This window comes from Homo sapiens, chromosome 1, assembly GCF_000001405.40.
Source record: "Homo sapiens chromosome 1, GRCh38.p14 Primary Assembly".
Taxonomy (NCBI): domain Eukaryota; kingdom Metazoa; phylum Chordata; class Mammalia; order Primates; family Hominidae; genus Homo; species Homo sapiens.
In genome coordinates, this window is record NC_000001.11 from 19,105,322 (window position 1) to 19,128,891 (window position 23,570).

Consider the following 23,570-nt stretch of genomic DNA (forward strand, 5'->3'; position numbering starts at 1 on the left):
ACAGCATCCAAGACAGCTCCAATTCCCACATGGGAATTTCCCACATCTAGGAAGCATTCAGAGCACACTGCAGGGAGTGAATGCCACAGAATCTAAGCATTCATATTTTGGCACTGATTGCTATGAGAGAATTAAATAAGATAATGCATGCCAAGCATTTATGCACTCAATCTCGATCAATATTAGCTGCATAAGATCTCAAATATTAGCTGCTGCTGCTGCTAACACCCTCACCACAACGACCACCACCACTACCATCACTAAAAGTCAGCTTTTTAACACTTTGTTGTTTCTGGGGTCTTCTACCCAGAGGTGTGCCTCTCATTACCCTGATCCATGGATTCCCCGGGGAAGATGAAAAGGCTCTAGAGCAAGTCTAACCACGCTCCTCATCCCACTCCCAAATGGTACCTGGTAAGCAGGTCCAGGACCTGCTGCTTGCGGCTGGGAATGGTGGCTAGAGCTTCCACAATGGTACAGGCTGCCTGCCGTGCGGCCTGCGTTGCTGGAGTGAAAAGCACCTGCAGGACAGGGGAGAGAAGGGGTCGTAGACTCAGAGGATGCCCTGCCTCACCAGGCCCCCAGCAGGGCAGTCAACTGCCACCCATCTAGGAGAGGTCTTCTGGGCACCTCTCTAGGAAAATGTTAAGAGGTAAAAATCACCAGCTAACACAAGACTCTACTGTTTTAGATGGGGAAAGGGGCTGTGAAAGAGCCCTGCTTCTGCCTGGAGACTTCTCCATCAGGAGATGTGAAGAACATACCTACAATAAGTGAAGTAGGAAAAAGGGATCTTCCTTAGCAAAGATGCTGATCATTCTTTTTTGGGGACACTTATATGCTGAATACTTTCATTTAAATGTAAACCAAGTATTTCTTATTTTATATATCAATGGACAAATGGATTACCTAACATAGAATTACTTTAGCTAGAGAGAGGAGGGAGAGAAAGGACAGCAGAAGATACGAAAAATGGAAGGAGAAAAGGGACTATGGTCAGGGAGGAAAGCAGAAAGCACAAGGAGCGTGTTAAGATAAGCAGAGGAAGTTCTGTTTCGGCCAGTCCACCATGCTAGCCCAACAGCTACAACCAAGAACCTGTACTCACTCCCTATTTGAAAGGAAGCAAGAAGAGCAAAGAGAAAGAAGAGATGGCAGTGCAGACACATGGTGAGGGGCAGAAACATATTGCTCAGAGTCTGGGGTCAGGGGCGCAGGGGGTGAAGAGTCCAGAAGTGGCCACTCACTTGTCGCAGCCAGTTGTTATGCCCCAGTTTGAGATCCAAGGGGGAGGTCCTCTTCCCCCGACGACTCAGGAACTGTTTCCACCTCCACACATACTTCTCAGTCAAATAGAGATGGCGGAGCTCTGATTTGCTGGGGGCTTTCCCATTGCCATCTATCCCTGCAAGGCCAAGGGTTGCAGGGGTAGTAGGTAAGTAAATGAGAGTGACAGAAGGCAGGGCTGTCAGAGCGCAGGCAGGACTTCCCGGCGTCTTGAAGAGAAAGATATACCTCTGATAGGAAGACACTTCTTCCAGGCATCATAGGATGCCTTGGGGTCTCTCTTGAGCCACAGTTGAGCCTGGGCATGGATCTCATTGCAGTATGGCTTCACCGTGGTGAGGGCCTCAACGGGGACATCCTGGAGGAGGCAAGTGGAGCAAGGTGAGGGCGCTCAAGGGCACACCTGAGCCATAGCCCCAACAGCATGGCACTGGTGCCCCAGGGGGTGATGTGCAAAGGCAAGAAGATCAGGAGGATCAACACGTGTATCTCTTATGCCCAAATATGTGTTCCTGTTAAACCATTTTGATCCAATTTAGCAGCAGCATCTCCACATTGAGCTTAAGGTCACTCATTTTTATTGTGCAGCAGAAGCTGTGGCTGGCTTCCTACAATCCTATAGCACTTACACTAATTCCTATCCCACGGCTGATTTGCAGTTTCCTAAGCAAAAACCTTCCTAGGGTCACAAGCAGCCTCCAGAATGCAAACTGTCACTAACCAGAAGCAGCCTGCAGAGAGAGAGCCACAGATGACACTCCAGTCCAGCGTGTCTCAAGCTGTTTGGCCTCAGAACCCTGTTACAATCTTCAAAAATTATTACGGACTCCAGAGAGCTTTGCTTTACATGGTTGTATCTATTGCCATTTCTCATGTTAAAAACTAAAACTGGCCGGGCGCGGTGACTCACGCCTATAATCCCAGCACTTTGGGAGGCCAAGGCAGACAGATGATGCTTTAGTCCAGGAGTTCGAGACCAGCCTGGCTAATATGGTGAAACTCCATTTCGATACAAAATACAAAAAAATTAGCTGGGCACGGTAGTATATGCCTGTAGTCCCAGCTACTAAGGGGGCTGAGGCAGGAGGATTGCTTGCACCCAGGAGGCAGGGTTTGCAGTGAGCCGAGATCATACCACTGCACTCCAGCCTGGGTGACAGAATGGGACCCTGTCTCAAAAAAAAAATAAAAAATAAAACACTGAGAAATTCTGAAGATATTTGTTAATTCATTGAAAAAGAAGAGTAAATCTATTATTTGTCAACATAAATTTTATATTTTCCAAAACAAAAATAACCTACAGAAAGACGTGGCACTGTTTTACATTTTTGATAATTGTTTAATGACTGCTTTATAAGACATCTGGATTCTCATATCGGTTTCTATAGTTAAATTGTCATGACAGGTTGTTTTGGTTGAAGTATATGAAAAACATTTGGCCTCATACAGATATACAGTTGGAAAAGGAAAGAATATTTTAATACCTTTTTCAACTAGTTGTGGATTTTTTTCATTGAGACTATACCAAAACTCAACAAATTACAGGGTCTGAAAGATTAGCTGTAGTATGGACTCTGAAATCACATCAATAAACTTTTCATACTTCATTACACTAACCTTCATCTTTTACCCGGCAGGATACTATAACATGCATTGGTCATTTAGAAAACACTGGTTTACACAGTTATGTCAGTTCTTCTTAAAGCTCACTTCATTCATTTTGAGGAAAAATCTGCCAAATACCTAAGCCTGAACAACCACAATTTGCCCATCAGCCATTTTTTTCAAGCACAAGCGGAGATCCATGGAAAGGCAGCTGGTTTGGCTTGCATCTCACACAAGTGCCTTTTCTCAGCACAACTGCTGTACTTGGGGTGCAGCAGAGGCGCTTTCTGTGTACTCATTTTGTCACACTGAGCATTAAATAGATTAGTACCCAAGAGTGGAGATTTAATAAAATTAATTTGTACTGTTTCATCAAGGATATTCTTGATGAAACCGGGTGGCAGTGAAGAACTGCACAGGGCCACCGCCTCGTCAACCTAAGGCACTGGCTGTCTCCCCAGCAGCAAAGGTTTTCTACCGTCAGCACAAACATCAGAAGAATTACAGGGGCAAATAGTGTCTTAGGACAATTATGAAAATAACTTTGTCCTCACAGATCTTTGACAGTCTCAAGAACACCCCGGAGTCTGTGAGCCAGATTTTAGGAACTGCTGCTCTCGCTAAGTTACACGGAGCAAATTGTGAACATCCACACCAGGCCTCAGTCCTTACAGGGCAAGTAATTCCGTGAAAAATCTCCCTTTGCCTCCCACTGTGGAAACAAGGATGGTCATATAGGGATGGGTGTCCTCTTCTCAACCAAGGGCTGATTTTAGTTGCTGGGAATCTGGGGGGAAATAATTCCTCCATCAAAGGGAAGGAAGCAGAGTGCCCCGTGCTGCCTTTTCTGAAGGCAGCTTCAATGTCCAGCTTCCCCACATCATAACCCTAGTGCTTAGCACTCAAAAAGCAATCTTCCTGCCATGAGGACTCTGTTGCCCAAAAGGGATGGCCCATCAGACAGAACAGGAGTCAGAAGGACCCAAGGCCCAATCCAGGGCAAGTTGGTGGCAGAGCCTTAGGCATGGCCCAAAGAAAGAACTATGGCCTCCCAATTCAAAAGCTGATACAAGCAAGTCAATCTGTGGCTCAGCTACAGTTATTTTAGGATAAAAACTTGGTTTCATTTATTCACTTAATAATAATTCACTAAGCAGCTATTATAGATGTTATACCATCCTATATACTAGACATAAAAAGTATTACTAAGATGGTCCAGTTCCTGGAATCAAGGAGCTCACAGCTAGCCTAGTAGAGAACTGACCCTCTAAGGAGCAGCTAACAAAGTGAAGGAAAACATTCTAGGCAAAGAAAGCAGGAGATAGCCACAGCTAACATTTGTTAAGGATTAACTTAGGCAGACACCGTTTTGATCACTTAGTCTGCATTATGTCATTTATTTTTCACAACACTTCAAGGTGGAGACTATATTCCCATTTTATAGATGGGGAAACTAAGGAACAACTTGCCCAACATCATGATGCTAATAAATGGAAGCGCTGGAATTTGAACTCAGGAAGTCTGCTTCAGAGCCTGGGATTTCTATCACCGCACAGCACTGCATGTGCAAAGGCACAGGGGTAGGAAGGACACAATGCTTTCTGGGGGCTGCAAGTTATCTAACATGACTGGAAAGAGTTCATCCTTCACAGCTAGCCACTTTGCTCTCTGCTTTGCAGTTTCATGTTTATTTTACTTGAACCATCCTTCTCAAAAATCCCAACCCATATCTGCTGAACTAAGGCAAAGGCTGCACTGGAGCCTCTCAGGGGAGGTGGGCTCAAGGCAAAGCGGAGACCATGAGGAGGCAGGGCACACTGCCAGGGAATGAGGAGGGTGGCCGCCCTGCCCTTCCTTGTTAGACCCCTGCTTGGCCCAGTACCTTGTTCTTCTTGCTAGTGGGAGCAGGTGGTTTTATCAGCTTCTGCAAGATCCTCAGGCACATGAGGGTAATGTTTTCAACCACCACAGGAGTCTTAATGTTCACAGCCATGAGGAAAAGGCTGAGAGCTAGGGATGGTCAGGAAAGGCAGAGTCACAATCAGGAACACTACACATCTGCTCTGCAGAGGCCGCCCAAGCATCAGTTTCCCTCCTCCCCTCCCAGTCCGGCCAGGACTGCTCCTTTGAGCCTCCTTTCCTTTCTCTGAAAATCCCCTAACTCACCACAGCGTAACCGGAGCTCCCAGCAGCTGTCCTCCTTGGAGATAGAATCCGTCAGCAGCAGCATTTCATACTGCAGGCTACTTGCCTAGAAGGCAATGGGAAGAGACATGAGTCAAGAGGGTCAGCTCCGGTCCAGCGACTCTTAACTATTAATACAATTTCTGGTCCTAGGTGGCTCCAACAGAGACAAAGGACAGACGGAGACCCTTGTGCTCCAGGCTCTTCCCTGGGAAAACCATTCTGGGGTAATGTTCTGCTCCTTCCCTCCTCAGTCACCGCAGGACCTGGGAGGGGAAGCTGAGAAACACAAGGCATGTGAGGGGAAGTCAGAGAGGACAGCTGGGCCTGCTAGGCCGGCTCACCAGATCGGGGTTGGCCCAGTGGCCCTTCAGGGCTGTGGAGACCTTGCCAATAATCAGGTCATTCATCTGTTGGGTGGCTTCTGGGTTGTCTCTGCAGAAGCAAATAGAAATGGAGTCCTATAATTCACAATCAGGTGTGACACTCCTTTCCACCTGAAGGGGCCCAGGGAAAATGAAATCAATGTCTAAGGCTACCTGGCCCCAAATTTTCTACTTCCTTCCCGGGGCAAGACTAGAACTTTAGCTTCACAAAACCGTGGTCGGTAATAATAAAGGGCCCATTACAGCCGCCTTGCCTATGAACAGAAGCTAACTGAGGGAAGAGCAGCACCACCTTATGGGGCCCATGTCCCAGGCGACAGAGCCCCTGCTGTCTGGTGTGACACAGTCTCCAAAACCTAGACGTCCACTCTCAGTCTTGGTCACAACTCTTTCCCTGTCTTCTCCATCTGCCTGCATTTCATTTTCCACAAGGCCCTCATATTCCAGTTTACGTCTCTTTGTAACAATGTTCCCACTATTAATAAAAAACACAAACCGTATCACTCACTCTTGCTTCCCAACATACTGAATAAGCCCCAAAGTCCTTACAGAGGCCCACAAGACCCTATGGGATCTGGCCCTCGCACCCTCTGACCTAAGCCTCCTCCCGAGTCTTCCCTACTGCATCCCTGTCTCCAGCTACACGGGTTCCTTGTGATGCCCTAGCATTCCTGGCAGGTGCCTGCTCTCAACTACCCACTTGCTACTTCCTAGGCATGCAGCCCACTGCTGAGACATTGCCATGACCTCATGATCAACTCCTGACCTCGTGATCTGCCTGCCTTGACCTCCCAAAGTGCTGGGATTACAGGTGTGAGCCTGTTCAGCCCTATTTTTGTATTTTTTTTTTTTTTTTGAGACGGAGTCTCGCTTGTTGCCCAGGCTGGAGTGCAATGGCACGATTTCGACTCACCACAATCTCCGCCTCCCAGGTTCAAGCGATTCTCCTGTCTCAGCCTCCCAAGTAGCTGAGATTACAGGCATGCACCACTACACCTGTCTAATTTTGTATTTTCAGTGGAGATGGGGTTTCTCCATGTTGGTCAGGCTGGTCTTGAACTCCCGACCTCAGGTGATCCACCCGCCTTGGCCTGCCAAAGTGCTGGGATTACAGGCATGAGCCACAGCACCTGGCCCTATTTTTGTATTTTTAATGGAGACGAGGTTTTACCATGTTGGCCAGGCTGGTCTTGAACTCCTGACCTCAAGTGATCTGCCAGCCTCAGGTGCCAAAGTGCTGGGATTACGGGCAAGAGCCACTGTGCCCAGCCTACTGTCAGTATTTTTCAGATGAGGAAAACACAGACTCAGAGAAATTAAGGAATCTGTCCAAGGCGTATAGTACAAGGTATCAGATACTGAAACTGAGCCTTTCCAATCCAGAGTCCAAGCTCTTAATCTCCAGGCCCCACTGCTCTGCTTCTTTCATGTGAGTCTTTCTCGAGTTCAAGTGTCTCCCTTCCCTTCCCTCACAAGGCCTCAGGGAGAGTTTCCTCAAGACACTGTACTGGAACCAAAAAAGCACAAGCCAATCATGCCATTTACAAGGAAACCTGGGTTTCAATGCTCCCCAAGCTCGCTCACCTACACCCTGTGTCTCTTTCCATCTTTCCTTTGTTATAAGCTACCTAACTTGCTGGGTGGTCAGAAGCACTATTCTGTGCACTCTCTAACGCTCCTGGCATGGCTGCCAGTGTCAGTAGGAACCACTAGGCCCATAACCATGGTGTAGGTACTGACCGAGTTAGGAGGCACATGAGCTGGCGGACCTCCTCCCGCATGGCCGCAGCCCCTCGGCGAAGATTATAATCAAAGAGCTCCCGGATAAGGCCCTGGGAGACAAGGATGTGCCTCAAGGCTGGGTTGGTGGCCAGGGCCCGAAGTAGTGTGATACAATGTTCTGTGACAGCCGAGGCGCAGCCATAGCACTTGGTGGAGGATGTGTGGCCACAGCCCAGGACGGATAAGGCACGGTACTGGCTGGCAGTGAATGTGGGCTGCACGGAGGTCCGGGATGATTTAGTGGCTGCTTCCCTCTGCTGTAGGTCATATTCCAACAACTCTTTGCGCGAAGCAAAGACTTTCTAAGAACAAAAAGGCAACAATAATGGGAATTAGCAATTAAAATAAGAAGAGGATGTTAATTAGAAAATTAGTTTTGCTTTAGAAAAAACTTTACATGCATTATATAACTTAATCTTCTCAATAACCCAACTGGTTAGATGCTTTATCTCCATTTTACAGAGAAGGAAACTGAAGCTTGGAGAAAGTGGCTTGACCAAGATAAGTGGCAGAGTCAGAACTCAGACTCAGATGGCAGGCTTATGCTCTTAACTCCCATGTAACAAAGACAAAGGTCAGAAGCTAATACACGTGTAGCAAAGATGGCACTCCAGCAATTTGGGGTTGAGGGGGAAGGTAAACTGGATGCTCTCCTTATATGAGGTACCTCTGTCTATGGCCAGCCTCCCATCTCATGGAGATTAGGTCTGTGACATTGCAACTGACACAAGGCCCACCCTGGTTGATTGCAGTTGGTATGCCCTTACCCTACAGCCTGCAAACACGGCGTTATCAGAAGAGGGAACAGAATCTTGGCATCAAATTTTTTAAGACCAGTAACCCCTCTACTAAGAGATGGGTTGTTAATGGCTAAAAAAAACCCTTATCTGTGTTACCTTCCCATCACCAGTATGTTCAGTTATCTAGCATGAACTCAGCATTCTGACCAGCGCCATAAATCACGGTGGGGGAGATGCCGTTTGGTGCAGCCATCTGCCTGCCTTTTCAGCTAGATTGGGCAGGGACAACACCAAGACCTGGACTGCTAGATGAGAGAGCAGCAGGACTGCTGTGAAAACAACACCAGTAACACTTGGACAAAACACACCCAAAAGCTGCTCCCCGCTCTCTACCTGGATGATTTTGGAGAGTTCATCAAAAGAGTTCTTGCAGTCTCCACAATACTCCTGAGCCAACTGCAGGATGTAACGATTCACACTGGCAGAAGTGGAGCTGATGCCCCCTGCTGTTCCTGAGTCATCCTGCAACCCCAAGAGGTAAGCTGTCAGGCTCCCCACCTAAGGTGATCTCACCTAGGAGGCAGTCTTCTGATCAAGACCCAAGCCCTTATCCAAATGCCCTTTGCAGCGTGGGACTACCTGTGGCTTTTCTGGAGCTGCCTCATTCACTTTGCAGAGCAGGTTCTCCAGCTGTGGCCGGTGTCCCATCAGCTGATGATACACTCGATCAGCTTTGTCCAAAAGTGTATTGATGTTGGATACAGCCTAGACAGGAAAAGACAGGGACTGAGTGAAGGCTTTTTGGCTGATGACTTTCCCTGAGTAATCCTCACTGCTAACCATTTACCAGAACATTTCCTATAGGTCAGGCACTGTGTTTCATACATTATCTCTGTTCTTCACAATAATCTTTCCTGTGAGGTGGGTATATTATTTCTAATAAAAATACAATACACATCTGTGATATATAATAATACAATGCTGAGAGAAGTAACTTATACTAGGTTACACAAGTATTAAAAGTATGGCTGGAATTAGAATTTCTGTCCTTCTGACTCCAAAGCTAAATGTTCTTCTGTTAACCCTATAGGTGCCCCTTTTTCACTGTTCTTTAATATCTAGAACCTCCCCCCGCCCCTGCCCATATTATGCAGGCTGGGAACTAGCACTGGACAATCTAATACTGAGGGAGGGCCAGCAGCCTCAATATGAAGCAGTCTGTGGAAGAAATGCAGGGCAAAGCATCCAAATCCAAAGTTATCTGTACCTGGAGATACTCTAGTTTCATTACCAATCAACACTTTTCTAAAATCCTATGCAAACCATGTCTTTCAATACAATATACCTCATGCCATTCTTTGCTCCCACCCAAAAGCTGGGCCCTGAAACTGGTGTTGAGTCGAAGAAGGCTTAGGCTAGAAAGTAAAGTGCACTGCACTGCACCAGGTCTGCCCAAAGTCCAGATCAAGGCCACAGCCCTGAGTCTAGGCCAGATCTGGCCTCACCTTCTTCCGGTCTTCTTCATTCTCAATGGGATCCACTGCACAGCAAGGCTTGGCATAGAGCATGAAGTCGAAGCGGGCATATTTACAGAAGCCACAGGCATTGCAGAGGAAGGGATCCTTTTCATCGTAGTTGATGGATCTGAGTAACCAAAGCGTTTGGGTCAGTAAGGTGACAAGGCTGGGTGGGGTGGGGGTCACTCTGAGGAAATGGATTGTGCCACATTTATATACTCTGGTAACTACTGCAGGGGCTACTGAAGGGACAATAACAAATGAATGACTTAAGCAGCCAGGTAACAAGAAAGCAAGACCCAGAGCTAAACTTCTGGACCTCCCTCCGCCCTTACCCTCCACCCCTGCCACAGGACAGACACACTCGTGTGCACATGCACACACACACACACACACACACTCACTCACTCTCTCTTCTTCCTCCTCCCTTTCTACCCTTGAACCCACTCTACAAACCCATAATTCTCTAAATGTTCTGAGGGAATCAGACACTGTAATTGCTCACACTGACACTACTACAGAAAAATAACAAGGAATGTGCACAGCCCTGGCCTAGGGGATGACCAATGACTTACCTGCATTTGTGACACTGGTACACATTCTCTCCACAGTTGCCACAGACTCCTGGGTTGGCAGGGACCGAGGCACTACAGCGAGGGCACTGCAGGGTCTCTGTGGAGGCCTGGTAGTTTTCATAGAAGTCTGCAAACTCAATCATCAGATTGGAGGCCACAATGGGCAACGGCAGGTCAATCTTCACCTCTGTCTGTCCAGGGGTCAGCTGAACCTTCTTGGCTTTGTGCCAGCGAGCTGGCCTAGGAAAGACAGACAGCCTTGAGATTTTCTCATCTAACCCTCAGTGATAACAGTCTGATGAGACAAAGAGGAAGACTGTCCCATGTATTTTTCTAAGGCAATTAAGTGGTTACTCTAAGGAAAAGAAATCTGGCATATAATAGGAAGCCAGTTTTAAAAAAGTTTTCTACTACCTTTTCTCTATAAAAAAAGGAAAGAACATACAAGTGCTTTAAGCTGTTATACATGATACCTTTTGAAATTCCAGGAAAACAACAGAAGTATATAACAAGGGAAACCATGACTCCAAAAGCATGCCACACTGAAGCCTGTAAGAGGTGCAATGATGATGCATGCCAAGTTCCCATCCTGACAGCAACCTTGGAAAGATAAACCCAGGCTATTTTAGAGAGGCAGAGGAAGAAAATCAGGGTCTGAACCAAGTGCTAAGTCAAGTCATAAAGAGGAAGGTATGTAATAATTTTGGGGTGATTATATAACACAATGAGAGCTAATATTTACTGAGTACTTACTATGTACTAGGCTCTGTTCTCAGCACCTGACACATACTAACTCATTTAATCCTTAAACCCTGGAAGTGGGGTCCTACCTCCATTTTATAGTTACAGAAACTGAGGTTAAGCAGCTTCTCTAAGGTCACAGAGCTATGTAGCAGAGCTGGGATCTGAACCCAAATAGTCTACCAGTAGCTCTGCTGACTCCACACAATGAAAAATCAAACCCACCTCCTCTGGAGGGGAATGGGCCACCCTAATGTGCAGCATCTACTTTCAGGTCACCAAGGTTAAACTAGGCTTTTCAAGGCAAGAAGAGAAAACCTCCCTAGGCAGCCTTCATGGCCACGTGTTGCTGTGGTACATGAGCCTTATTCTGCCTCTTGGAATAACAGCAATACTTCCATCCTGTGTGCAGAACAGCTCTGTAAGTCTTACTATTCAAGTAGTGTCAACCTGTGTTCTCCCTTCAGTAGCAATGCCTGAGAGTTCAAAAAAAGGCGATCTGTCTCTGTGAAAGTCAACACTATAACCCATGTGAGTGCCTCTCTTGGCCTAAATATGACATGCCCTGGTTCAGTCACTGGGATACATGGGCTAGGAAGATCCAGTATCAGCAGATACAGAGAAAAGGCACCATGTGGAAATCGAAGAGTGTGTGTACTAAAGAAGCTTCTTGAGAAATAACTTTCTGCCCTGTGAGCAAGAGCATAGCTGTCTTAATCCAAGAAATGACAATTACTTCCCAATACAGAAGGTTTTATCTAAGTCTAGACCTTTGTGTAAGAATAGTTAAAATGGGCATGAGAAGCCTGGAGGTCCCCTCACTCAGCTTCCCCTCCCTAGGCAGGCTGTTGAGGAACTTCCACAGACCCCTATGGCTCCACTGGGCTAATTTAGAAATAATCTTTGTCAACATGCTTAGAACTGTTGTTTCACTTTTGTCCTTTGGTCATGAATGGAGGGGCCAAGAGGATGTATTAGGCCTCTAGGGATGTGCTGCCTTACTCCATTCCAGGAACCGAAGGCAGCAACTGAGCTTCAGCCTTACAACCTGCTGCCCCTCCCGAGGCCTAAAAAGCCCGTACTTGTTTTTCAACTCCACGATGGCCTGCACGGTTCGGTTGTTATAATACAGGTTGATGGTCCGCACCATCTTGGTCCGTTTCAGATCCCCGATTTTCACTGTCACTTTGCTGATGGTGTGACTGCCAATGAGCTTCACAACCTGCTGGGTGGTGGTGTACCGCGTGTCCACTTTAATGGAAGACAGCTTGATATACTAAATACAAGAGTTCACAAAACATGGTATTAGTTCAAGACTCGTACTGCCTTTTTAAAAATTCATCAGTGTAACCCACTCTTCATCCACAAGATGAAGTTTCTATTTAATTTTTTAAAAAATATTTTGTAGAGATGGGGTCTCACCATCTTGCCCAGGCTGGTCTAAAACCCCTGGGCTCAGGGGATCCTCCCATCTTAGCCTCCCAAAGTACTGGGATTATAGGCTTGAGCCACTGCACCCAGCCAAGTTTCTATTTAAGGTAATAAATGTGGCAGATAAAAATTCCTACTATCGGTGACCAACCATTAGGAGAGGAACATCTATGTGATAATGATCCATCTCTGGAAACAAGAATCCCACTGGACCTATTGGCCTCAGGACTGTCCATGTACAGATGTTACTTACACAGAACGGTACTTCCGGGTTATTACACACCAGGCAGGGATCGCTCTCCAGGTAATAGCCATCAAACTCCACTAAGCCAGACAAAGTGCTAAGGAAGAAACCAGTCTTAGCATGAACACATTTTCATCTTAGGAAGCACTGAGTTTCACAAAAAAATCATGACAAAGCCATGGCTCAATGTGAGCCAAAGTGAGCCCAAAGTGAGCCCCACCCTAGTGAGAACTCAAGGACACAGGAGAAATCCCAATAGGGTTACGAAGCCACAGGAAAGAAATTTCAACTAACTGACCTTAGATGTTTCCTAATCTTTGATCTATCCTTCAGAGGAATTCTAAAAAGTAGTAAAATTTGACTCAAGAGTCACAATTAAATTTACTAAAAATCATTGAACTGTACATTTAAAATAGGTTAATACATAAATTATCTCAATAAAGTTTTTTTAAATTTTTTTTAAAGAACAGTCACTACTAAACCAGAGAAATAATAAACTGTCAATTTAACCAATATCCTCTTTTAGAAGTTTTTTTAAAAAAAGGAAGACATTTTCTTTAAATTTGTTTCACCTTATTTAACTTAAACCCTTGAAACTAAAGACCTTTTTTTTTTTTTTTTTTTGAGACAGGGTCTCACTCTGTCACCCAGGCTGGAGTGCAGTGGCGTGGATCACAGTTCATTGCACCCTCGAACTTCTGGCCCCAAGCCATCCTCCTGCCTCAGCCTCCCCAGCAGCTGGGACCACAGGTACACGCCACCACGCCTGGCTAACTTTTTTAAATTTTTTTTTAAGAGATGAAGTCTCACTATGTTGCCCAGGCTATACAGACCTTTCTACATTACTACTCACCAAACCCTGAACTCAGCAATGACATTTTGAGTACCTTCTATTTGCAAGACCCTGGCCTACATGGAGGGGATTGGAATCTCAACTAGGCAGATTCGCTCTTCTCTCAGGCGCTTGTCAATTCCTATGTAAGAGCCTATCACCATGCAAATAACTCCTCAGAATGCTGACTGAGCTTCCCACAGGTAGAAAGCAAAACAAAGCTCACTTATAAATGTTCGAGTTGGGGTGGTTGGTAAGAATATGGTTTTGAGTCCGCAGAATCTCCACAGCCTTCTGTGAATACTCCTTCAACTGAAACAGAATTCAGTAAAGAAACAACTTAAAGCCCAAGGTGAAGTCTTATTGGAAAAGACTTTTGTCTTCTGCATTCTAGCTGAATACTGCCCTAGACCTACCAGACTTCTCAGTCAGAATCATACAAAGCTGGGCCTAATTTCAATCATTTAAATGGATTCTATCTCCTTTAGAAGTTTCCATGAGCTTTAGTGATAGGTAGTACCCTTTTCTGACCTGATGGAGGAAGATCATTTTTATTTTTATGGAGAAGCCATAAAATGGTTAGCTAATTGCAGAAACATTTTCTGGTATGTATAATCAGGGCTACTAGCAAAACAAGGAGCACTTGCTTTTCCAAGGAACTGTAATGAGTTCTATCTTCTTTCCCCACCTGACCTTGACCTACGTCCTATGTTAAGTTAGATTTGTTAGTGTATACTGTCTACATCACAGACATATTACGAGTGCTTACCAAGAAATGCAAAACTAGATATATTTAAAAGAGGTTTCCTATATGGACTCCCTATATCTGGGTTGTTCATAATATTCTTAACTCAAGAGAAAAAAGGTTAAATATGGCAAGTTGGCCCCTCTGACCATAAAGCAACTGTTACCTTCTTCTCTGTTTGTGGAGTTTTCAGGGAGAAATATCCTAGTAGGTCCACAAACTGGGCAGCCTTACGACCATAGGCTGGGAGTTCTGGCCAGATGGACCACATCAGATCTAGCAGGAGCTCCTGTTGAGATTTGCTGGAATTTCTGTGGATATATGACAGCTCATGTTACCAAGCAGCAGAAAACCCTGAGGCACCTGTGTTTATCATTGAGGCTCTGGTACCTCAATTTCCCCACAATTATGGGTTAAGTTTGAACGGTTTTGTTTCACTTTTGACAATCAATCCTACCAGATGCAGCATAGTCATTTGCTGCCTCTACCCATCACCCAACATATCCCAGAGCAGAAGCTGAGCTTTTTTAGCCTGAAGGGTCAAGCTTGGTCATGTTACAAACCCCGATACATAGCCTTCTGAGTAGAAAACAGATCGTCTCCTGCCTATGACGTCAGTTTAATGGCTAAAAAGCAGACAACAATAAAGAAATCTCTAAAGCACAAGAGGATTCAGGCTGGCGTAACTACTGACTCTGTGACCATATGTAACCGAAAACAAAATAGAACTGCATTACGCACCCTGGCCTCACACCCTTGCAGATCTGTCAAACCAAGCCCTGGCCCTACCTGTAGATGTGCAGTGTCAGACAGTGGGCCTGCCAGCGCACCGAGGAAGAATTGGACTCTAACAGGAAACAACGCAGGAACTGGATCAGGGTTTCCTTATCGGCAAATTTGTTCAGCTGGTTCACCAGAGCTGTGCACAGCTGGTCCTCCTGGCTGCCAGAGGTCTCACCTGCAAGATTAGGACAGGACTAAGGGCTGAAGAGTAGGAAGAAGTCCTCCAGGGTCCTAAGGCCTGGGCTACCAAATGGTGAGGGAGGGAATTCTGTCCATTTCTAAAAGTTTCTACTGAATGCTGATATTCTGCAAAACAATTTTTAGTTGTTTACTGGGGGACAAATAGGTCAGCCCCAAATGAGACATATGTGTAACGTTGGTGATGCAGTGGTGAGCACAGCTGCCTTCCAGACAAGACATACAATAATGACACTAAAAACCACAGGATAAAGTGCTATGTAAGCTGGCACTGAACAAATACAGTGACACTGGAGGAGGAGGAACTTCCTTTCAAGGGCTTGCAATAGGCCTACACAGAGATGTCTGATCATTAACTGGGGGAATGTGAACCACCACCATGGCTCTCAACCCTGACCACTGATCTCAGGTCTCCAAGGACCATGGAAAGCAGTGCAGCTGATGGTGAGGGTCAGCTAAGAGAGCTAACATTTACTGAGCATTTACCAATGTACTCAGTGTCATTTCACTGAACTCTGATGGGAGCTCCATAGAGAAGGTGTTATTATTTCACAGAATAAGAAATTTGGTCTACTAAAAATGTTCAGTGCACTTTGACTTTTCTTATTACTGTCACTTGGTATGAGAAGTCATGCTGTTTAAGGTGTCACTTCAGTATAATTGAAAATGAGACCAAAAGTAGACACTAGAGAACATTTGGGCTTTAAGTCCCCTCTAAATCAGGATTAAAAGACCTTTTACAACAGGACAAACCATGTGCTCCAAGAGAGATTTACATACATCATTGTAGTCACAATGACAAGAGGGTGACCCTTACCATCTTTCTCCTTTTCTTTTTCTTCTTTCTTGCTCTTTTTAGTGGAAGACTTGGACTGTGTTGTGGCTTGTCCAGAACTGGCAGCCACAGGGGCTGAGGAGGAAGAAGCACTGGAGGATCCCGAAGAGGCTGCCAGTGCAGCGAGCACCTTGCTGCCGCACAGAGCACAGGAGAGCAGTTGCAGCAGCACTGGGGACACGCCCTCATCCACAAGGAAACTGACTTGGAGGAGGAAGTACAGGACGGCTGCAAGCAGAGGAGACAGAGGCTCACCTCTGAGACGACCTCAACCAGACTCAGGAGAACCAAAACAACGTCTCCCTACAGCTGAGACTGCCCTGTTCTCACCAGCTTTCTTTGCCATGTTCTCTCTGCTGGACATTGTGAAGAAGTTATACTTTCTGTGGAAATCTCTGAAAAGTATTTTAACTACACACCGACCAGAGCCCCCTGCTCCTTTGAATAAGGGGTTCTCTAGACTCCACCTACTCCTCTTTGACTTTACTGCCACTACCTGGAGGTCAGAGACTCCTACTTTGTGCTTCTACAGCTCCCCAAACTTTGACGACCAGCCCTCACCACTCTTTTAGATTTTTACTTGTCTTCTTTGCTAGACAGAGTTCTGTCTAGTCTATCTTGTTCACAGCTATATCTCCAGCATCCAGTTCAGTGCTTGGCATATAGTAGGCCTTAACAGTTCCTGAATGAATGAATAACAGCAATCAAAAGGAGCAGCATTGCTTACAGTCATCTTTGATGCAGAATTTCTGCCAGTTGATGGTTCGCTGGGCGGCAATCTCTGCACAGGCTTTCAGGTGCTCCATCTGAAATAGGAACCAACCACGGGAAAGGAGTAACTCCACCACATTGCCCAGACAAGCACCACACCTGCTGCCTGGAGCCATCTCCCTGACTTTGGACTACACCTGAACATGATCTTCTGAGCAAGGCAGATGCTTGCTGAGATGTCTGGTCAACCTGGGACCATGACCCACACACTGCTGCAACCGCTGCAGCTCTTACCGAACCTGCCTTTGTTCTACCCCATCCCCACGCAAGGCGCTGTTTTCAGGAACCTTCAGACTACTCAATAAGGCAACAGCAAAAGGTAGACCATGACCTAAGAAACTATAATCCAGTTTACTTTTCTTGATATATAACGATAAGCAAGAACATGAGCCAGCTAGATTAAAGACGTTCTTTCTAGGTTGTTCACATACAAAATACTCAGTTTACTCCTCTAAGTCCAAACAGTTTCTCTTTAGGCAGCAATACATTTTTCTACTCGAACCTTCATCATTTCTTTAGTATTCAAGGGTAAAAACCAGAGGTGCACAAAGAGATCAGTCCTGACTAGGATGTAAGCAAATGGCACTGGTAAGAAGCTCGGGCCACTCACCTCACAGTGGAGGAACTGCTGCCAGGTGGGATGAGAGTGCTGAGGGGGACATCCCAGATCCTGAAGCCAACTACACATGGTACAGCACCCAGACAGGGGTTATGGATTTACCCTCATCTCAGCCCTAACCATGCCATTGTCAACACAGTTAAAAGTCCTGCATTATTACCTCCAGCCCTATTACCTACTTGGCTAAGCCTTATCACATCCCCCCTCCCTGCCCTACCAGGTCCCAGCCCTCGTACCAGGCTGATGAGTGTGTCATATTGCAAGGCGGAGCCTGAGCTGGCTGTAACCACACTTGCCCGGAGGAATATCCCCTGCTCTTCTAGCAGCTTCTTGATCCCACGCACGTGAGAGTCCAGGGTGTGCAAATCCCGGAGCTGGCGGTACTTCTCTTTGGATCCACAGATGAAGAGCAGAAGTTTGCGGACTTGACGGCGCACAAATGGAGTCTGCTGGATCATGAGGTACTTGAGAAGAAAAACACCACAAAGAGTAAATGACTCTGGGACTGTATCTATATCAACTGTGGCTCTCACACCCTGGGTTTTAATAAACTGTTATTAAAAGCTGGGGACAGGCCGGGCACGGTGGCTCACAGCTGTAATCCCAGCACTTTGGAATGCCGAGGTGGGCTGATCACTTGAGGTCAGGAATTTGAGACCAGCCTGGCCAACATGGTGAAACCCCATCTCTACCAACAATACAAAAATTAGCTGGCCGTGGTAGCACTGCCTGTAATCCCAGCTACTAGGGAGGCTGAGGCAGAAGAATTGCTTGAACCCAGAGGGCGGAGGTTGCAGTGAGCAGAGATCGTGTCACTGCACTCCAACCTGGGTCAACAGAGTGAGACTTGGTCTTAAAAAAAAAAAAAAAAACAAAGGCTGGGGAGAAACACAAACCAAGCTATTTCCTCTTGACCAAACCAGCCTCTCTTAAACTTAAATATCCTTTAATGAGACCAGGAGAAAGAAAGGGAGAGAAAGAAATCAAAGAGGAAAATACCAATATTCATGCATCTCTTCCTTGTGCCCTTAGGAATCTACAGGCAAGCTGGACTCCACTTCAGCCCACCCAAAGGGAAACTATCAAGAAAAAAACCATTCCAAATCTCTTTTTCAGGTAAAAGAGCTAAAGAGAAGATTGGGTTGGTACAACTATGTAACTCAAAATCCTCATCTGAGGTTTGCTAACAGATTATTCTTCCCAGAGTTAATCTATCTCAGGGTTGCTGTCTGGTTACTAAGGTTATTAAAGCCATTGTCTCTCAGTTCCCAACCCACCCCTACTGACACTGCCCAGTGATGCTGAGGCCAGAATTATGCCAATGCACTACTTCTTTGCCAGCTGGCTCCCTCTTAGGTTCTGCCAACAGGGAGGGACACTGGCAGCAGGAGGAAGAAGGGGCTTGCTTCTTCCCATCTGCCTGCAGTCCTAGCAACAGCCCTGCACCCTGGCAGCCACAGTGAGTTCTAATCATCAGCTTCTCTCACTGCTCCCAGCATCAACCGCATCACATCCCCTCAGGGAACCCACTTCCTGATAACTGCTTCAGGCAGTTACTATCCCTGTGTTACCTCATGTTTCCTTTTTATCTTTTTTGTTGTCCAACAGCATTTACCCAATTTCCCATATTGAAATCTCTCTATTAAGATAACTAGTATACTTTGTTTTTCTGACAGAACCTAAATTATTAAACTTGCCCATTATCAGCACGTGAGGCGAAGTTCAACACACAGAATCAGAAGGTAAAGTATGGCTTGTTTGATACACATCTCCCACAGTTCTACCACACAGTATGTTCCAGAAGGGCAAGACCAAGACCTACAAAGGTGAAAGGGACTCTGCAAGGGGAAATACCAAGTAAGGATGAGGAAGAAAGGGGCCCACAGAGGTGAATGCAGATGTGTCCTCAGCCCAACAAGCATGCAGCTTGGGACTTTCACTTACCTCGGAGAGAAAGTAAAACCACGAGTGGTCAAAGACAGGAGGTGGGATTCGAGAATTGGTGTCAGTAATCTTTTTGATTTGGTAAGGAAGCCTCAGTACCATTTCTGTTAGAAGCTGAGTATAGGCCTCAAACACATCAGCAGCATGACCCTGGGAGAAGAAAATTTGCATGAGAACCTGTGACTATCGATTTTCCATGACCACAATTAGGAAAAAGCCTGGCTCATTAGACGTATTACATGTTGGAGGTGGTAAAGGGTGCCTTTCAGAGCTGGAATCAAGACTGACTGACAGTTTATTCTATAAACCCAGAAGGCCCAGGCTTCTGCGGCCAATTTAATTACATGCAAAGGTTACAGTGGAGGCAGACCTCACTTCCTAAAAGTCCTAATATTTCACTCTATGGTTTTTGACATTGGGTTGATTGTACTCTGCCTACATAAAGATGAGTGCTAGAAAGGCCAAAAAAATTGGAAAAAAAAAAGAAAAAGGGAGTAAGGATCTCTGACTTCTATGAGATGTATTCTATCCCTAGAACCAAAATTTCCCATGATAACAAGAAATTGTTAAATAAACCAAGGTGGGCAAGATCACTAAACTCAGCCAAGATTCCTGGCTTCATGTAACACAAAAAGGCAGAGGTAAATGAGAGATGTGAGGACAGTGGAAACAACAGCTATCCTGCAAGCTGTGTGGTCCCATAAAAAGAATCTGTAAGAGTTTGAGGGCACAACGTGTCTCACATATTCAACTCCCAGTTATTCATCAGTTCTGTATCAAGCACTGGAGTTGTAAACAGGAATAAAATATGGTTTCTGCTGAGAGTGTAGAGGGGAAGACAGGTGAAGGAGCACACAGGGTGCTCCGGGAACCCAGGACAAGGCTCTCTTGAGCAGACTTGATGGCAGGGAGTATATGTTAGGGAAGTTTTCCCAAGGATCCAAAGCTCGTGCTGGATCTTGAAGATGGGCTAGGAATTCGCTAGACAGGAGAAGAAAGGGGAGCAGAGGGAGAGGAAAGAATTCCAGAAGGGACAGCATGAACAAAGGCAACACGCCACACCTTGGGAAATGTGCAGGCTGGCAGGGCTGCGTGTAGGGTGTTATAGGTGACAAAGCTAGAGTCAAGCAGGTGGCTGGGTCCTCCAGAACTCTTTGGCCTGTAAGTTATGGAAAACCACCAAAGAGTCATGAAAAAAGAGCAAGACAACGATCAGATCCACACTCTATGCCTATCGTATTCCTACCCTACTCAAAGCTATTCTGAGGGGGCAGTGAGGAAGAGACTGGTGATATCAGTTAATACGGACTGGGCATTGATACATGCTAGGCATTGTGCTAAGTCCTTTACAAAGGGCACCTCATTCAATGCTCACAACAGCCCTGTAAAGCAGATACCATCTGTATGCTCATTTTCCAGCTGTAGAAGCTGAAGGTTAGGGAGGTTAGACAGACAGAACTTCTCCATGCTTCAAGACTGGTAAGTAAGAACACAAGATGGGACTTATCCCAGATCAATCTGATCAGAAGGCCCATCTTCTTAATAAGTACGTTAAAGGGCCTCTCAGTGGTGACAGCACAGGGAATATCTGACACACATGTCATGACCCACAACTCATGACATTAGCTTGTACCTTCTCATCTTTTTCTAAACTTAATGTGAAACGAGATAACCATGATCTCATTCAATTCCTCCAATTTACAAAGAGGCAGGAATGAGAATCCCACAGAAGGTTGGGAGAAGTGGTCATTTATTCAATCACGCCGAGATTAACCCCCACCAAGGAATGCCGGCTCCTTCCTATGGCTCTTCACCCTCAGCCCCTTGAGCTCTCTGCACCGCGAGGAAAGAGAAGAGTGCTCTGAACAAAGGACGAGTGTTTCTTTGATGAGGGAAAGATCTCACCTTCACATACTGGCGGAGAAAGAATGGGCTCATGTCAGGTGGGGAGGAGGTAGTATGTGGTTTCAGCAACTGGCTGGTAGCCACAGGCTCCTCGTCATTCTGTTGGCTCTTCCAATATTCCAGCAGTGATTTGAGCACGTGCAGGCAGTAGTCCACAGCCCCAGAGCTCAGTAGAGCTGCTGCTGTGGCACTGGAGATGAGGGAAGATGACTGGGAGACAGAGAAAATACAGAGATGGGAAGAATGGCTTGTAAAAACAATGTGAAATCCAGGTGGGTGTTGGGGATGGGAAACACACTCACAACAGTCTTAGCTTTTATGGCAGTGAGTGAATCAGGCTCTTGCACTGAAACTTCCCCAAGGAAGTTTGTGAGGTTTTTCAGAACTTTTTTGAACAACCACATGGTAAGACAAACAAAGAAACACATCTGTTCTCAACTCTAACCTTGCTACACGCACATATGCCAGAAGCCAGGGAGGCAAGGATTAAATAACCTTTCCCCCTGGAGGGGACGCGTTTCCTCTTTTATCTTGAGCAACTAGAAAAGAAGCCCAATTCAAGAAGGAGAGAGAAAACTTTCCATTATAGGCACTTCTGAACGACCCCACCCCACCCCCTGTAGAGTCTTCCATAGAACCAGCTTCCAAAGGAGTTGGGGGTGAGTGATCACATGCATAAAAAAGGAGAAAAGCTACTGTAAATAAGACCATTAGAAGAGCCTTGCAAATCCCAGCAAACCCCACAGCTCCCTAAGCTCATTAAGATTGGATGCAGTTCAGCCTCAATTTCTACCTTCTCTGCTTTATGCTAATCTCCTTTCACCACACACACATTGCTTTCTCTCTGCTTTATTACCATACCTTATAGCAACATACACTAGGGGAATCCTCTTAGCCACTCTGTGCCTTGCAGAAGAGAGCCCTGCTCTTCAATAATGGAACTTCCAAACCCTTTTACCCCTCCATTGGAGGGATTGTTACCAAAGACCAGAGCTTGGAAGGGATTCGGGAAAAGGTGGAGGTTCTGCTCTTGAAAAGGTGACAGCTTAGAATCTTACTCCCCTCAGGGAACAATGGCTTTATTCTTACAGAGGACTACCACCTCTGTGCTGGCCCTAGCACTACCCAGACAATCCGCTTACCTTTCCCCAAACCCATGAACCCAAAGCAAAAATACCTCACATATGGAAGACTTGGATCCAGATTTGGTGCGGGACATGAAGACACTCAGGAGTCTCATTACTACCAGATGGACTTCATTCAGGGCGCTGCGCTCATTCTTCTTGGAGACATCCTGCAGGCCAAAGCGTAAGTCCAGAAACCTCTACTTACTCGATGCTTGAGGCATCCTCTGAACAAGATCCCTTCAAGTCAAGCCCATCAGCCCTAAAATGTTCCTCAGATTGAATCAGACACAAAACAACCCCCAGTATATCCATGGACTATACTTGGGGTACCTAGAGCCCGATACACTTAAGAGGCCATATTAAGATACGAACAACTAATTTAATGTTCTCACCTCACTGAGCACAAAAGGGCCATGAGGGTAAGAACTTCATCTTTGCCCTCAACTATGCTCAGGGTCCAAAACTATGCTCGGGCCAAAGCAGGCCCTGAATACGCTTTTGTTGACTCAACAGAATGCAGCCCTCAGTGGATGGTTACCCCTTGAAACGAGGTGAAGTTCCTCTATGAAACGAATGGGAACCTGAGAAAGGATCTCAGCCAATCCTGTTTCTCACACAGTCTGCCTCTCAGATTTTACCTTTTTATCCATACCCAACTCAGCAATAAGCTGGGAGAGCAGGTTGTCTAGGGCCCCCTTGTCTTTCTCATCTTCTCCATCCAGATCTGTAGTGAGCATTAGAATGACCTAGAAGTCAAAGACAGAAAACACAAAACCCAATTTCCTAAAGAAGAACGACTTGAAATACGGGGTGTTTCAGAAGAAATCCTAATCTTCCTGACATCCCTATCAATCATAACTGTAATCCATTATAGCGTTCTAAATTCCAGGTATCCAAAGCTTCAGTGTTCAGAGTCAGAAAAGTCAAATTCTGATATATGCCACACTTGACATTACAAAAAAATGTTTTGTAAAAAGTTTGTAAAATTAATGGACTAACCTATATTATATCCAAGCAAGTAGCTTGAGAAAGGGTGGTACACCAAACTAAGAATTAAAGAACAGTTTTGCCTCTGAGGAAGACAGCTAGTGAGTGGAAGAACAGCTATTGGCCCACACTCTAATATCAACATAAAGACTAGAGACTCAGAATCTCAGAAGTGGGCTTTTGCACTGGCTCTGTCAATAACTACCTGGATGAACTTGTGCATTTAAAAAATTCTCTGACCCTTAGCTTTCTCATTTATAAAATGAAGAGCTATAATTTGTAGCTCAAAAATTAGATTTCATTATTCTGTGGCCTAACACCAAACGAAGGCT

The 23,570-nt window shown here is 45.7% G+C and overlaps 1 protein-coding gene across 50 annotated transcripts in view, besides 3 other annotated features; it reads right to left on the bottom strand.

Annotated features, from left to right (window-relative positions):
* UBR4 (ubiquitin protein ligase E3 component n-recognin 4) overlaps positions 1-23,570 on the bottom strand; it is a 135,757-nt gene that overhangs the window by 30,812 nt on the left and 81,375 nt on the right. For all 50 annotated transcript variants that reach the window (XM_047416518.1, XM_047416514.1, XM_047416523.1 and 47 more), the window contains 23 exons: positions 22,890-22,997; positions 22,302-22,418; positions 21,125-21,334; positions 19,220-19,369; positions 17,512-17,739; positions 16,613-16,691; positions 15,868-16,113; positions 14,859-15,027; positions 14,236-14,380; positions 13,551-13,636; positions 12,502-12,589; positions 11,900-12,093; positions 10,077-10,316; positions 9,490-9,628; positions 8,624-8,749; positions 8,378-8,506; positions 7,203-7,546; positions 5,421-5,511; positions 5,059-5,143; positions 4,775-4,902; positions 1,516-1,645; positions 1,248-1,405; positions 412-521 (listed from right to left, as the gene is read on the bottom strand). In XM_047416518.1, the coding sequence (XP_047272474.1) occupies positions 412-521; positions 1,248-1,405; positions 1,516-1,645; positions 4,775-4,902; positions 5,059-5,143; positions 5,421-5,511; positions 7,203-7,546; positions 8,378-8,506; positions 8,624-8,749; positions 9,490-9,628; positions 10,077-10,316; positions 11,900-12,093; positions 12,502-12,589; positions 13,551-13,636; positions 14,236-14,380; positions 14,859-15,027; positions 15,868-16,113; positions 16,613-16,691; positions 17,512-17,739; positions 19,220-19,369; positions 21,125-21,334; positions 22,302-22,418; positions 22,890-22,997 (3,500 nt within the window). The remainder of the gene's footprint in view (positions 1-411; positions 522-1,247; positions 1,406-1,515; positions 1,646-4,774; positions 4,903-5,058; positions 5,144-5,420; positions 5,512-7,202; positions 7,547-8,377; positions 8,507-8,623; positions 8,750-9,489; positions 9,629-10,076; positions 10,317-11,899; positions 12,094-12,501; positions 12,590-13,550; positions 13,637-14,235; positions 14,381-14,858; positions 15,028-15,867; positions 16,114-16,612; positions 16,692-17,511; positions 17,740-19,219; positions 19,370-21,124; positions 21,335-22,301; positions 22,419-22,889; positions 22,998-23,570) is intronic.
* Positions 14,235-15,434: an enhancer, noted in NCBI's record as "BRD4-independent group 4 enhancer chr1:19446050-19447249 (GRCh37/hg19 assembly coordinates)". NCBI's record gives its function as "activates an origin of replication core promoter dependent on BRD2, P300/CBP, MED14 and CDK7 cofactors, and independent of BRD4, by STARR-seq in HCT116 cells {active_cell/tissue: HCT116}" and the evidence as "EXISTENCE:reporter gene assay evidence [ECO:0000049][PMID:35650434]".
* Positions 16,832-18,031: an enhancer, noted in NCBI's record as "MED14-independent group 3 enhancer chr1:19448647-19449846 (GRCh37/hg19 assembly coordinates)". NCBI's record gives its function as "activates an origin of replication core promoter dependent on BRD2, BRD4, P300/CBP and CDK7 cofactors, and independent of MED14, by STARR-seq in HCT116 cells {active_cell/tissue: HCT116}" and the evidence as "EXISTENCE:reporter gene assay evidence [ECO:0000049][PMID:35650434]".
* Positions 21,437-22,236: an enhancer, noted in NCBI's record as "NANOG hESC enhancer chr1:19453252-19454051 (GRCh37/hg19 assembly coordinates)". NCBI's record gives its function as "activates a minimal SCP1, AML or CMV promoter by ChIP-STARR-seq in primed H9 embryonic stem cells {active_cell/tissue: H9 hESC(primed)}" and the evidence as "EXISTENCE:reporter gene assay evidence [ECO:0000049][PMID:30033119]".